This window comes from Homo sapiens, chromosome 7 (assembly GCF_000001405.40).
Source record: "Homo sapiens chromosome 7, GRCh38.p14 Primary Assembly".
Lineage (NCBI taxonomy): Eukaryota > Metazoa > Chordata > Mammalia > Primates > Hominidae > Homo > Homo sapiens.
The window spans coordinates 56,375,678-56,390,111 of NC_000007.14; the positions used below are offsets into that span (position 1 = coordinate 56,375,678).

Below are 14,434 nucleotides of genomic sequence, written 5' to 3' on the forward strand. Positions count from 1 at the left end.
GAGAGCCCACTGTGAGGTAGAGGCCGGGCCTGTAGAGGCCGCCGACAGGCAGGGGCTGGGCCCGTTGAGGCCACGAGAGGCATGAGCTGGGCCTCAACAGGCCAGTGTGAGGCAGGAGCTGACACTTGGGCAGGTTGCAAGAGGCATGAGTTGGGCGAAAAGAGGCCACCGTGAGGGAGGAGTTGGGCCTGTACAAGTTGCCGAAAGGCAGGAGCAGCTTTGGACTGGAGAGGCAGCAGACAGGGAAGAGCTGGGCGTGGAGAGTCTGCTGTGAGGCAGAGGCTGGGCCTGTACATGCCCTCGGGAAGCAGGAGGCTGGGCCTGGAGAGGCCGACTTGAGGAAGTTTTGCTCCTGGAAAGGCCACTTAGAGACAAGAGCTGGGTGTGAAGAGGCTGACTTGAGGTCGATTTTGGCCTACAGAAGCCACCGGTAGCTAGGAGTTGGCCCTGGAGAGGCTGACTTGAGGACAGTTTTGGCCTGTAGAGGCCACTGGGAGGGAGAGCTTGGTCTGGAGAGGCCAACTGGAGTAAGTTCAGGGCTTGGAGAGGATGCACAAAAGGAAACGCTCAGCCTGGAAAGTGTGCTGTGAGGCATTAGCTTGGCCTACACAGCACTTGGAGGCAGGAGCTGGGCCTGCAGAGGGTGACTTCAGGACGATTTTGGCCTGCAGAAGCCTTTGGGAGGAAGAGCTTGGCCTGGACCGGCTGACTGGAGGAAGTTTTGGGACAGGAGTATGCGTCAAAAAGCAAAAGTTAGGCTAGGAAAGGCCACTTCGCGGCATGATCTTGGCCTACAAAGGCAATTGCGAGGCAGAAGCTGGGCCTGTAGAAGCTGCCAAAAGGCAGGAGCTTGGCCTTAGGAGGCTATGCTCAGGCAAGTGGTGGGCCTGGAGGGTCTACTGTGTGGTAAGAGTCTGGGCCTGTGTAGGCCGACATGAGGCAGAAGCTGAGTTAGGAGAGGCCAACTTTTGGAGAATTTGGGCCTGCAGAGGCTGCCAGGAGGCAAGAGCTGTGCCTGGAGAGTCTGTCTTTTAGCATGAGCTGGGCCTAAAGAGACCATTGTGAGACAGCAGCTGCCTGGGAGGCAGGCAGATTCGTGGCCTGGGGAGGCCACCGTGAGGCAAATGCTCAGTTTTCGGAGGATGCCGTGAGGCAGGGAGAAACTTGGCTTTCGGTGGCCGCAGTAAGGGAATAGTTTGATTGCTGAGGCTGCTGGGAGGCCGAAGGTGGGCCTGGAAAGCTTTACTTTAAGAACTCTGTGGCCTACAGAGGCTGCCAAGCAGCTCAGCAGGAGTTGGGCCAAAGGAGGTTGTTGTGAGGCAGGAGACGGGCCTGTAGACGCACTGGGAGGATGAGCTCGTCCTGGAGATGCCGAGTTAAGGACATTCTGGGCCTGGACAGGCTGCAAAAGGCAAAAGCTGTGCCTGGAAAAGTCACCGTGGGGCATGAGCTTGGCCTAAAGAGGCCATTGCAAGGCAGGAGCTGGGCCCGTAGAGGCTGCCAAAAGGCAGGAGCTTCGCCTGAGGATGCCACAGTGAGACACCATCTGGGTCTGGAGGGTCCACTGTGAGGCAGAGGCTGGCCTGTAGAGTCCGACAGTAGACAGAAGTTGGGCAAAAGGCTGATTTGAGGAAGTTTTGGGCTTCAAGAGTCAGCCAGGAGGCAGGCACTAGGCCTGGAAATGGCCCGACAGTCATGAGTTGGGCCTAAATGGGCCACTGTGAGGGAGGAGCTGTGCCTGTTGAGGCTGCTGGCAGGCAGGCAGAAACTTGGCCTGGGGCAGCCGCCATGAGGCAAGAGCTGGGCCTGGAGAAGCCCCTGGGAGGCAAGAGCACGGCCTGCAGAGGCTGTTCTCAAGTCAAAGCTGGGCCTGTTCATGCCACCGGGAAGCAGAAGGCGGGCCTGGGGAGTTTGACTTGAGGAAGTTTTGGGCCTACATTGGCCGCTGTGAGCTGGACAGGAACTGGGCCAAAAAAGGCTGTTGTGAAGCAGCAGTTGTGCCTGTAGACTCAGCCCAGAGGAAGAGCTGGGCCTGGAGAAGCCCCCATGAGGCAGAGGTTGGGCCTGTAGATGCTGACAGGAGGCAGGAGCTGGGCCTGGAGAGGTCAACTTGAGGAGATTTTGGGCCTTCATAGGCCACCAGGAGGCAGCAGTTGGGACTAGAGAGGCTGACTTGAGGAAGTTTTGGGCCTGGAGATGACGTCCTGGGACAGGAGCTGGGCCTGGAGAGGCCACCGTGAGGCAAGAGCTGGATGTAGACAGGCCAGTGTGAGGCAAGACCTGGGCCTGTCTAGGCTGCTGGGAGACAGGCAGGAATCTGGCCAGGGAAGGTTGCCATGAGACAAAAGTTGGGCCTGGAAAGGCCCTTGTGAGGCATGAGCTTGGCCTAAAGAGGCCACTGGGTGGCAGGAGCTGGGTGTGTAGAAGCTGCTGAAAGGTTGGGAGCTTGGCTTGGGTGGTCCACAGTGAGGCAGATGCTGGGCCTGAAGAATCTGCTGTGAGGCAGATGTTGGGACTGTAGAGGCTGACGGGAGGCAGAGGCTGGGCCTGGAGAGGCTGCCAAGATGCAGGAGCTGGGCCTGGAGAGGCTGCCAAGAAGCATGAGCTGGGCCTGGTGAGGTCGACTTGAGGAAGTTCAGGGCCTGGAGAGAAGGCTGGGAGGCAGGAGCTGGGTCTAAAGAGGCCATTGTAACGGTGGAGCTGTGCCTGTGGAGGCTGTTGTGAGGCAGTAGCCTCATCTGCGGAGACTGCCGTGAGGTAGGGTATGGGCCTAAATAGGCCATTGTGAGTCATGAGCTTGGTCTGCGGAGGCTGACTGGAGAAAGTTCTGGGCCTGGAGAGGCTGCCGGGAGGTAGGAGCTGGGCCAAAAGATTTAAGCACATTACATTTATTAGGCACTTTATTTCCATTATTACACTGTAATATATAATAAAATAATTATACAACTCACCATAATGTAGAATCAGTGGGCGTGTTAAGCTTGTTTTCCTGCAACTGGATGGTCCCACCTGAGCGTGATGGGAGAAAGTGACAGATCAATAGGTTTAGATTCTCATAAGGACAGCGCAACCTAGATCCCTCACATGCACGGTTCACAACAGGGTGCGTTCTCCTATGAGAATCTAATGCTGCTGCTCATCTGAGAAGGTGGAGCTCAGGCGGGAATGTGAGCAAAGGGGAGTGGCTGTAAATACAGACGAAGCTTCCCTCACTCCCTCACTCGACACCACTCACCTCCTGCTGTGTGGCTCCTTACGGCTCCATGGCTCAGGGGTTGGGGACCCCTGCTCAAGTGCATCCAAAACGACCCTTCCCACACCAGTCTTCACAGTGGTCAAGTGCAGCAACCACTTAGCTCCCAAGGCATGTGCCTCAGCTGGCATTTCGTCACAATCAACAGTAAGTGGTAGCTTGAGTCATTGTGAGGTCACTTCCTGGAAATCACCAGCATCCCATTTCCCACTGGCAAAGAGCTCAGCACTGCCCCCTGGGAAACCAAACCTATGCCCAAATCCCATCTGTGTGGGTTTATCTCCTGGGACCCTTCCTAACATATTAGTCAGAGTCCAATCAGGAAGCATAAACCGCTCAAAAGTTTAAAGTGGTAAAATTTAATACAGAGAATTATTCATTATAACAGGTAAACAGCATAATGAGAGATTGGCTAGCACAAAGTAAAGAGAACTCTAGAGAATATAGGACTAGCCCAGGCCAGGCATGGTGGCTCATGCCTGAAATTCCAGCAATTTGAGAAGCTAATGCAGGAGGATTGCTTAAGGCCAGGAGCTAGAGACCGGTCTGGGCAACACAGTGAGACCCTGTCTCTATCCAAAAAAAGAAAAAAATTAGCTGGGAGTGGTGGTGCACACTTGTAGTCCCAGCTACTCGGAATGCTGAAGTTTGAGCCTGGGAGGTCAAGGCTGCGGTGAGGCATGATTATGCCACTACAGTCCAGCCTGGTGACAGAGCAAGACCCTGTCTCAAAGAACAAAACAACAACAACCATTTACAGACAGAAAAGAAACAGAGCTAATAAGCTAAGGGAAGATGTTGAAATGTGACAAGTAAAGTAATATGAGGTCTTTTATCTATTTAAAATAATCAAACAAAAAATGACTTACTAAATTATAATACCCTGTGCTGGCAAAGGTGCAGTGAAATGGGCACTTTCTTATACTATGAGGGGTGTTTAAATTGTGTATAAGCCTTCCAGGGTAAAGCTTGTCAATTTTTTAAAATAATAGAGACAGGGTCTCACCGTACTGCCATACTGCCTCCTCCAACTCTTGGCCTCAAGCAATCCTCCTGTCTTAGCCTCCCAAAGTGCTAAGATTATAGCTGGGAGGCACCCAAAACCTTGACCATTTACATCAAGGGTAAGGAGAATGTCTATTCACCATGACTCACAGTAATCTTACTTCTGGGGAGACAATTCAATCTCAACAAAAGGTCATCTGTACAAACACAGTAAAAATCTGGGGAGTAACTGAAGACAGAGTTGGTAAGTGAAATAAGAAACAGTTATAAGAAATTAAACTATGGTATCAATAGGCACCTGGTAAAAGGTCAGTTGATGTTAGCTGCTACTTTTTTGTTGTTCTGAGACAGGGTCTCACTCTGTCACTGAGGCTGGAGTGCAGAGGCCTGATCATGACTCACTGCAGTCTCAGCCTCCCTGGGCTCAAGTGATCCTCCCAGCTCAGCCTCCCAAGTAGCTGGGACTACAGGAACATGCCACCACACTAGGCTAATTCATGTATTTTTCTGTAGGGATGGTGACTCCCTTTGTTTCCAAGGCCTATCGCAAACTCTTGGCCTCAAGCCATCCTCCTGCCTCAGCCTCCCAAAGTGTTGCGATTACCAGTGTGAGCCACCACACCTGGCCAGCTGCTACTTTTATCATTATTATTATTCCACTCAATTAAAAATTATTATTTTCAAGGCTATGCAACAGTATGTATCCTACAGCGTAATTGTAAAAACATATACCGTCGTCCCTCAGTATACAGAATTAGTTCCAGCCCCCCATCTCTGCATATACCAAAATCCATGCTTACTCACGTTTTGCTGTCACCCCTCTGGAATCCATGTATAGGAAAATTCCAAATATTAGTTGGGCATAGTGGCAAGCACCTATAGTCTCAGCCACGTGGGAGGTTGAGATGGGAGGATCGCTTCAGCCTGGAAGGTTGAGGCTGCAGTCAGCTGTGATAGCACTACTACACTCCAGCCTTGGAAAAGAGAGGGAGACCCTGTCTCAGAAAAAAAAAAAAACAAAATAAAACAGGTTAGAAATTGTAATGAGGTCTGTTGGGCAAAATTCCATATAAGCAAAGTATAAATTAATAAAGCAAATGGTGATAAATTAGTACGATTGACTTTCTGGAGTTTCTGACAATAAAAGTAAGGAAAATGCAAAACACAAAGACAGAGAGTAAAAAGAGAAATTAGGAAAGCATTCTACATGTTTAATAGGAAGACACTGGCCATGTTCGTGCAGCGGCAGTATGTCATGATATGACATACCTTGGAGAGAAGTTAACAGATGAGGAAGTTGATAAAAATGATCAGAGAAGCAAAATACTGGTAGCGACACTCAAGTAAACCACGAAATTTCCATAACTTATGTCAGCAAAGTGGGAATATTGTACAGTGTGTGTTGAAGTTCCTATACAACATTGTTTATCTGCCTTTTGTTTGTTTGTAAGGAATGTATATACTAAAAGTTCTTCTTGCTGTCAAAAGAATATGTGTGAATAAGTCATTTTAACTTATGCTTCTGTTTTTCTTTTATCTTCCTGCCATCATCCCACAGCCTTACTTTAGAAATTTTTTTTTTAGAAAATTGAACAAGTGCTCCTTGTGGTGGCACATACCTCTAGGATGGGAGGCAGGGGTGGAAGGGTCACTTGAGGCCATGAGTTTGACACCAGCCTGGCTAACAAAGTGAGACCCCATGTCTACAAAACAATTTAAAAATTAGCCAAGTATCGTCATGTATACCTACAGTCCCAGCTACTCAGGAGGCTCAAGTAGGAGGATCCTTAGCCCAGGAGTTCAAGGCTGCAGTGAGCTGTGATAGCACTACTGTACTCAAGCCTGGGTGACAGGGTGAGACCCCATCTCCTAAAATAAAAAACAAAGAAAAAAAATAGTTCAAGTAGCAAGTTGTATGTGGCTTACTCTGAATATTTCTAAACTAGAAATTCTCAATCTTTTGGGGTCTAACATCCCTTTACATTTTTTAACTTTATTGAAGATCTCTAAGACTATTTCTTTCTGTAAATAATTATATTAAAACTAGAAAATAAAAATTTTTAAATATTATTCATCACATATTAAAGCCATTACATGTTGATATAATACAAGATTTTAAAAATATTTAATATTCATCACATATTAATAATAAAACCATTACATGTTGATATAATACTTTTGTTTTTTTCTTTGAGACAAAGTCTTGTTCTTTTGCCCAGGCTGGAGTGAAGTGGCGCAATCTCAGCTCATTGCAACCTCCACCCCGCAGGTTCAAGCGATTCTCCAACCTCAGCCTCCCAAATAGCTGGGATTACAGGCGCCCACTACCATGTCCGGCTAATTATTGTATTTTCTTAGTAGAGAAGGCTGGTCTTGAACTCTTGACCTCAGGTGATCCACCCACCTGGGTCTCCCTAAGTGCTGGGATTACAGGTGTGAGCCACCGCGCCCACCCCGATTAATATATGTTTTAAAACACTGATTAGACAGGCAACAACACCGGGCAGGGGTCTCCTCATTCCCAGCGACACAAACCCCACTGCACGGCTGAGGGGTTGCAAGGGCTGCAGAGACAAAAGGCTCTGACTTGAGATGTCATTATTTTACTTGTATTTTTATTTGTATTGTGAGACAGGTCCTGCTCTGTCACCCAGACTGGAGTGCAGCTGTGCACTTAAAGCTCACTGCAGCCTCGACCTCCTGGGCTCAAGCCATCTTCCTGCCTCAGCTCCCCAGTAGCTGGTAGTACAGTTGAGTGCCACCATGCCTGGTTATTTTTTTAATTTTTTTTGTAGAGTGAGGGGTCTTGCTATGTTGCCCAAGCTGGCCTCAAACTCCTGACCTCAAGAGATCTGCCCACTTCAGCCTCCTGAGTAGCTGAAACTACAAGTACACATCACCATGCCTAGCTACATTTATTTCATTTTGAAAAATATTTTTGTAAAGAGCAGATCTTGCTGTGTTGTCCAGGCTGGTCTTGAACACCTGCCCTTAAAAGATACTCCCACCTCTGCTTACCAAACAGCTGGGACTACAGGCATGAGCCACTGCAATGAGCCTGAAGAGATTTCTTTAATCTAGCATCCCATACTTGGTAGGATTGGGAAAGGCAGTAGTGTTTTTTAAAATTACTTAATAATTTCAGTAACAATCAAACTCAACCTTGACCCCTGCCTTCTCTCACACCCCATATCCAGTCTGTCAGGAAATCCTGTTGACTGTCTTCGACATGTACTAAAGATCCCCACCCAGCAACTCCCTGGCCTCCTCCCCTACTTCTCCCCTCTGACCATCTCTCAACACCACCACGACCCTGGTCAGGACCACCATCATCTCCCGCCTGGATGCTGCCAAAGCTTGGCCCCCATGCTTCTACCCACATCTTCCCATAGTCTTTCTCAACTCAGCAGCCAGAGAACGCTTTTAAAATGGGAGACAGATCATGTCGCCTCTCTGCTCAGAACCTTCCCGCAGTTCCCATCTGAGTCAGAGTAAAAGCCAAAGCCCCAGCAATAACCTCCCAGGGCTTATGTGATCTGTACTGATCCCCACCCAGCAACTCCCTGGCCCCCTCCCCTAATTCTCTCCCTCTCTCTGTCTGCTCCATGGGCCTCCTTCCAGAGCCTCAGACACACCTCAGACACTTTATTCTATTGTTTCTGCCTACAATCCTCTTCCCTCAGCACCTTGGCCAGCTCCTTCCCCTCCTTCAAGTCTTTACTCAATTTTCACTTAGGAGGCCACCCCTGACCATTCTATTTAACATTGCCATCTGTCCCCATGCCCACCATGCTCATTTCTTCTTTCTTTACTTTCTTCTTTCTTTTTTTCAAGATCTCACTGTCACCAAGGCTGGAGTGCAGTGGCGCAATCACAGCTCACTGCAACCTCAAATTTCCAGGCTCAAGCGATCCTCCCACCTCAGCCTCCCGAGTAGCTGGGACTCCAGGTTCATGCCATCATGCCTGGCTAAATTTTTTAGTATTTTATTTTATTTTATTTTGAGACAGAGTTTCACTCTTCTTGCCCAGGCTGTAGTGTAATGGTGCAATCCCAGCTCACTGCAACCTCCACCTCCCAGATTCAAGTGATTCTCCTGCCTCAGCCTTCCAAGTAGCTGGGATTACAGGTGCGTGCCCCCACGCCCAGCTAATTTTTCTATTTTTAGTAGAGCCGGGGTTTTGCAATGTTGGCCAGGCTGGTCTCGAACTCCTGACCTCAGGTAATCTGCCCGCTTCGGCCTCCCAAAGTGCTGGAATTACAGGCGTGAGCCACGATGCCTGGCCAATTTTTTCATTTTTTGTAGAGACAAGGTCTTACTATGTTGCCCAGACTGGTCTTGAACTCCTGGCCTCAAGTGATCCTCCTGCCTAAATTCCTAAAGTGCTGGGATTACCGGCATGAGCCATCATGCCTGGCTTCATGTTCATTTCTTCTTGCTGCTGCAACATAGTTTGCAGTTTCCTACATTTAGTGGCTTAAAACACCACAAATCTACCATCTTACAGTTCTAGGGGCCAGAAACCCAAACTAGGTCTATTAAGGCTAAAGTCAAGGTGTCAGCAGGGCGGCATTCCTTCTAGAGACTCTAAAGTGTTCCCTTGGCTTTTCTAGCTTCTAGAAGCCACCCCCATTCCTTGGATCATGGCCCCTGACTCCATCTTCAAAGCCAGAAATGAAGCATCTTCAAATCTCCCTCTCTTACCTCTGCTTTCATCACTACATCTCCTGCTCCAATTCTGAATCTCCTACTCTCTTTCTTTTATAAAGACCCTTGTAATTGCTGGGCATGGGGGCTCCCACCCAGAATCCCAACACTTTGGGAGGTCAAGGCAGGAGGAACACTTGAGGCCCGAAGTTTGAAACTAGCATGAACAACATAGTGAGACCCCCGCCTCTAGAAAAAAATAAAAATAAATATTAGCCCAACATGGTGGTATGCGCCTGTAGTCCCAGCTACTTGAGAGGCTGAGGTGAGACAATCGATTTAGCCCAGGAGTTTGAGATCAGCCTGGATGACATAACTAAATCTCATCTCTACAAGGATGAGGTGGGATGATCACTTGAGCCCAGGAATTTGTGGCCAGCCTGGGCAACAAAAGAAGACCCCATCTGGCCAACATGGTGAAACTCCGACTCTACAAAAATGAGCTGGGCATGGATGACATGCATGTGTAGTCCTAGCTACTTGGGAGGTTGAGATGGGAGGATCACTTGATCTCAGAAGGCCAAAGCTATAGTGAGCTATGATCACATCACTGCACTCCAGCCTGGATGACACAGGGAGATTCTGTCTCAAAAAAAAGAAAAGAAATATATATTTCATCTCTGTCCCTGGTTCCTGGCACAGAGCTTCTAAAGCTCTTACAAAGACCTCAGTGATAGATGTGACAGGAACATCTTTTGTTTTAGTATTTGGTCTTGGTCCCAGGTTTCTAACACAAGAGCCTCTAAGAATTTTGGAATCTCCAGCACGGTAAGAATGCATTTGGGGATGTTGTTGAGATGACTGGGTGACTGCAAGCTCCTAGATTTCTTCAGGAGGAGGGCTGATTGCCAATGGAAGCAACCACATGATTAGACGCTTGGAACTTTCAGCCTCATGCACTCAACTCCAGGAGGAAGAGGGGCTGGAGACTGCCTTAATCACTAATGGCCAAAGATTTTATCAATCATGCTTGCATAATAAAGCCTCCATAAACACCCTGAACAGGGTTTGCGGAGCTTCTGGGGTTGCTGAACACAGGAGATGCTGGGAGGGTGGCATGTTCAACAGAGGGCATGGGAACTCTGTGCCCCTCCTAACTTACCTTGCCCTGGGCATCTTTCTTTTTTTTGAGATAGGGTCTGGCTCTTTAGTCCAAGCTAGAGTGGAGTGGCACAATCTCAGCTCACTGTAACCTAAGCCTCCCCAGTCCCCAGCTCAAGGTGTCCTCTCACCTCAGCATCCCTAGTAGTTGGAACTCTAGGTGCACACCACCACACCCGGTTATTATTATTTTTTTGTTTTTTGTAGAGACAGGTTTTCACCATGTTGCCCAGGCTGGTCTCAAACTCCTCAGTTTAAGCGATGCTCCCACCTTGGCCTCCCAAAGTTCTGAGATTACAGGCGTGAGCCACTGCATCCAGCATGTACGTCTCTTTCATTGGCTGTTTCTGAAATGTATCCTTTGCAATGAACCAGCAATAGGAGATGAACTGGCCAGATGTGGTGGCTGACATCTGTAATCCTAGCACTTTAAGAGGCAGAGGTGGGAGGATCACTTGAGACCAGGAATTTGTGGCCAGCCTGGGCAACACAACAAGACCCCATCTATACAAAAAATAAATTAGCCAGATGTGGTGGTGCAGGCATGTAGTCTCAGCTACTAGGGAGGATGAGGTGGGAGAACCACTGGAGCCCAGGCAGTCAAGCCTGCAGTGAGCTATGACTGCACCATTGCACACCAGCCTGGGCAAAAAAATAAGACCCTCTCTCTCAGAAAAAAAGAAAATAAACTGTTCTTCTGAGTTCTGTAAACTGTTCTAGCAAATAATTAAACCCAAGAATGGAGTTATGGGAACCCCCGATTTGTAACAGGTTGGTCAAAAGTACAGGTGACAACCTAGGACTTGCCATTGGCATCTGAAGTGAGGATGGTCTCGTGGGACTGAGCCCCTAACTTGTGGGGTCTGTGCTAACTCCAGGCAGTGTCAGAATAAAATCATGGGATACCCAGTTAATATCCAGAGCACTGGAGAATTTGGTGTAGAAACTCCATACATACATTCAGTCGGAAGTGTGTGAGCAGAGACAGACACGGGCTTTTCTTTCACCTGTCTACCTGCTTAACTGCATAGGAGAGGCAATACGTGGTGCTCATGAACAAAGCAAGCATTAAAGTCAGACCAGACATTCGACTCAGTCTTAATATCCAGGTGAGCTTGGGCAAATCACTCATTATTGCTAAGTCTTCATCACTTCATTCGTAAAATGGGGATAACTGTGGCACCTACCTGTGATTCTGTGAGAATTAACGAAATATTATGCTTGGTGTTATTGTGATCATTATACCTATTCCAAACTATTTGACAAGGACAGTGATGGATGACAACATCAAAAAATTAGAAACTGTAGTGAGATCTCTCAGGCAAAATTCCATACAAGCAAATTACTGTCTCCACAAAGCATTCCTGCCACACCTAATTCACCATTCCCTGAACAAAATGTGCCCTCTTCATTGTCCAGGTCTGTGCAGTGCTGGTTTCCCTGCCTGCACAGCTCACTCCAGCCCATTCCAGCCCATTCCCCATCCCTCCACCTCCCCCTTCCCTCCCCACTCTCATACAACTCTTCCTCATCTTTCAGGACTTAGCTTCAATGTCACCTTAACTGGAAACTTCTCTCAGCCTCCAAAAGAGCTTCCCATTGCATTTGATGCATGCACTATTATTTGATCATTTCTGAGTTATAGTCCAAGTCTTTTTGTACCTGAATAACATGTTACCCAGTCAGTCTCTTTTCCTGGATTCAGAAGTCTTTCATGGTAGATCCAGCTGGAAGTGACAAATACATTCTTTTGAAATAAAGGGATGACACAAACAGACATAAGTTCTTAAACGTCTTAAATGGTATGTGAAAATTAAACAAAATTCAAAGACTTGTGGGAATACTTGGAAAGTTACTGGGAATGTCATAAAGGGTTAATTTGTATTTTATTTTTTGAGACATTATTTTTATTTGATTTTTTATTTTCTGTCACCTAGGCTGAAGTGCAGTGGTGCAATCAGGGCTCACTGCAGCCTCGACCACCTGGGCTCAAGTAATCTCACTTAATTTTTATTTGGTTTAAGAAACAGTCTTGGTTGAGGGTGGTGGCTTATGCCTGTAATCTCAGCACTTTGGGAGGCTGAAAGAGGTATATTACTTGAGGCCAGGAGTTTGAGATCAGTCTGGGCAATATATTAAGACCTTGTCTCTACCAAAAAACAGAGTGAATGTGTGGAAGACAATTTTTCCACAGACTGGGAGTGGAGGGAATAATTTCAGGATGATTCAAGTGCATTACAAATACTGTGCACTTTATTTCCATTATTATTACATTGTAATATATAATGAAGTAATTCTACAACTCACTATAATGTAGAATCAGTGGGATCTCTGAGCTTGTTTTCCTGCAACTAGACTGTCCATCTGCGGTGATGGGAGACAGTGACAGAACATCAGGCATCAGATTCTCGTAAGGAGCGCACAACCTAGATCCCTCGCATGCACACTTCACAACAGGGTTCGTGCTCCTATGAGAATCTAATGCTGCTGCTGATCTGACAGGACATGGAGCTAGGGTGGTCATGCAAGCGATGGGAGGGGCTAGAAATACAGATGAAGTTTCCCTTCACTCGCCTGCTGCTCACCTCTGGCTCTGTGGCCCTGTGGTTGGGAGACTGCTGCTCAAGTGCATTCGAAAGGATCCATCCCATGCCATTCTTCAGTCATCTTTACTGCTGCAGTGGTCAACTGCAGCACCCCTAAGCTTGCAGGGCATATGCTTCACCTGGTATTTCTTTTTTTTTTTTTTTTTGAGACGGAGTCTCACTCTGTCGCCCAGGCTGGAGTGCAGTGGCACGATCTCAGCTCACTGCAAGCTCCGCCTCCCAGGTTCCCGTCATTCTCCTGCCTCAGCCTCCCGAGTAGCTGGGACTATAGGTGCCCGCCACCACGCCCGGCTAATTTTGTGTATTTTTAGTAGAGACGGGGTTTCACCGTGTTAGCCAGGATGGTCTTGATCTTCTGACCTCGTGATCCGCCCACCTTGGCCTCCCAAAGTGCTGGGATTACAGGGGTGAGCCGCTGCACCCGGCCTTCACCTGGTGTTTCATCACAATCAACAGTAAGTGGTAGCTTGAGTCATTGTGAGGTCACTTCCTGGAAATCACCAGCATCCCATATCCCACTGGCAAGGAGCTCAGCACTGCTCCTTGGATAACCAAACTTATTCCCAAATCCCATCTGTGTGGGTCTATCTCCTGGTACCCTTCCTACCATCAATTCTGTATTTGTAGGAGTCCAATCAGGAGACAGAAACCACTCAAAAGTTTAAACTAGAATGAGCAAGGTGGCTCACACCTGTAATCCCAGCACTTTGGGAGGCCAAGGTGGGTGAATTGCTTTGAGCTCAGGAGTTTGAGACCAGTCTGGGAAACATGGCAAAACCCCATCTCTACAAAAAACACAAAAATTAGCTCGGTGTGGTGGCACTTACCGGTAATCCCAGCTACTCGGGAGGCTAAGTCAGGAGAATTGCTTGAGCCTGGCAGGTGGAGGCTGCAGTGAGCAGAGGTTGTGCCACTGTACTCCAGCCTGAGTGACAGTGTGAGACCCGGTATCAAAAAGAAAAAAAATATATATATATATGTAAATTTAATATAGAAAGTATTAATTTTGGCCAGGCACCATGGCTCATGCCTGTAATCTCAGCACTTTGGGAGGCCAAGGCAGGCGGATCACCTGAGGTCAGAAGTTCAAGACCAGCCTGACCAACATGGAGAAACCCCATCTCTACTAAAAATACAAAATTAGCTTGGCATGGTGGCACATGCCTGTAATCAGACCTACTCGGGAGGCTGAGGCAGGAGAATCGCTTGAATCCGGCAGGCGGAGGTTGCGGTGAGCCAAGATAGCGCCACTGCACTCCAGCCTGGGCAATCCAGCCTGGGAAACAAGAGTGAAACTCCATCTCAAAAAAAAAAAAAGTATTAATTTTAGCAGAGGATCAGCATAACGAGGGACACACTAGCACCAAGTAAAGACAACTCTAGAGAATACAGAACTAGCAGAGGCCAGGCACTGTGGCTCATGCCTGTAATCCCAGCAATTTGGGAAGCCTAGGCAGGAGGATCACTTGAGGCCAGGAGTTGGAGACCTGTCAGCGCAACATAATGAGACTATATGTCTACCAAAAAAAAGAAAAATATTAGCCAGGCGTGGTGGTGGTGCACACCTGTAATTCCAGCTACTTGGGAGTCTGGGGTGGGAGGATCCCTTGAGGCTGGGAAGTCTACACTACAGTGAGCCAAGATCATGCCACTGCACTCCAGCCTGGGCGACAGAGTGAGACCCTGTCTTAGAAAGAAAAAGAAAAGAAAGTGTTAATCCCCCTAAGGGAATCTCCTCTTATCCTTCCCTCTCTGGAACCT

General features: G+C 47.9%; 1 protein-coding gene and 1 long non-coding RNA gene across 4 annotated transcripts; both read right to left on the minus strand.

The window, feature by feature from the left end:
* Positions 3–5,148, minus strand: LOC107986800 (putative uncharacterized protein FLJ44672). 3 transcript variants are annotated; one of them, XM_017012928.3, is made up of 3 exons: positions 5,063–5,148; positions 2,952–3,009; positions 3–2,842 (listed from the first exon to the last, which is right to left on the minus strand). In XM_017012928.3, exons 1-3 carry the CDS (start codon positions 5,088–5,090, stop codon positions 1,645–1,647), a joined length of 1,284 nt encoding a protein of 427 aa, XP_016868417.1. In that variant the 5' UTR covers positions 5,091–5,148; the 3' UTR covers positions 3–1,644. The 3 variants fall into 3 exon arrangements, 2 of the variants coding, with proteins under 2 accessions (XP_016868417.1, XP_016868418.1); XR_001745215.2 differs by lacking the exon at positions 3–2,842 and adding an exon at positions 3,236–3,435 and having other exon boundaries at positions 2,981–3,009; positions 5,063–5,144; XM_017012929.3 differs by lacking the exon at positions 5,063–5,148 and having other exon boundaries at positions 4–2,859; positions 2,952–3,061.
* A 939-nt stretch (positions 5,149–6,087) lies between these two features.
* LOC105375292 (uncharacterized) lies at positions 6,088–12,796 on the minus strand. The gene is made up of 3 exons (XR_927290.2): positions 12,653–12,796; positions 11,730–11,794; positions 6,088–6,127 (listed from the first exon to the last, which is right to left on the minus strand). It is a non-coding gene; the product is annotated as an uncharacterized LOC105375292 (long non-coding RNA).
* Between the last annotated feature and the right edge of the window lie 1,638 nt (positions 12,797–14,434).

Excerpts from the sequence above, each read along its gene's own strand:
- LOC107986800 (XM_017012928.3), bottom strand. The coding sequence starts at position 5,090 with ATGGATTCCAGAGGGGTGACAGCAAAAC. Across the intron at positions 3,010-5,062 it reads CAGAGGGGTGACAGCAAAAC|GTGGGACCATCCAGTTGCAG; the intron begins GTGAGTAAGCAT and ends CATCACGCTCAG. Across the intron at positions 2,843-2,951 it reads CCCACTGATTCTACATTATG|CCTCTCCAGGCCCAGAACTT; the intron begins GTGAGTTGTATA and ends ACCTCCCGGCAG.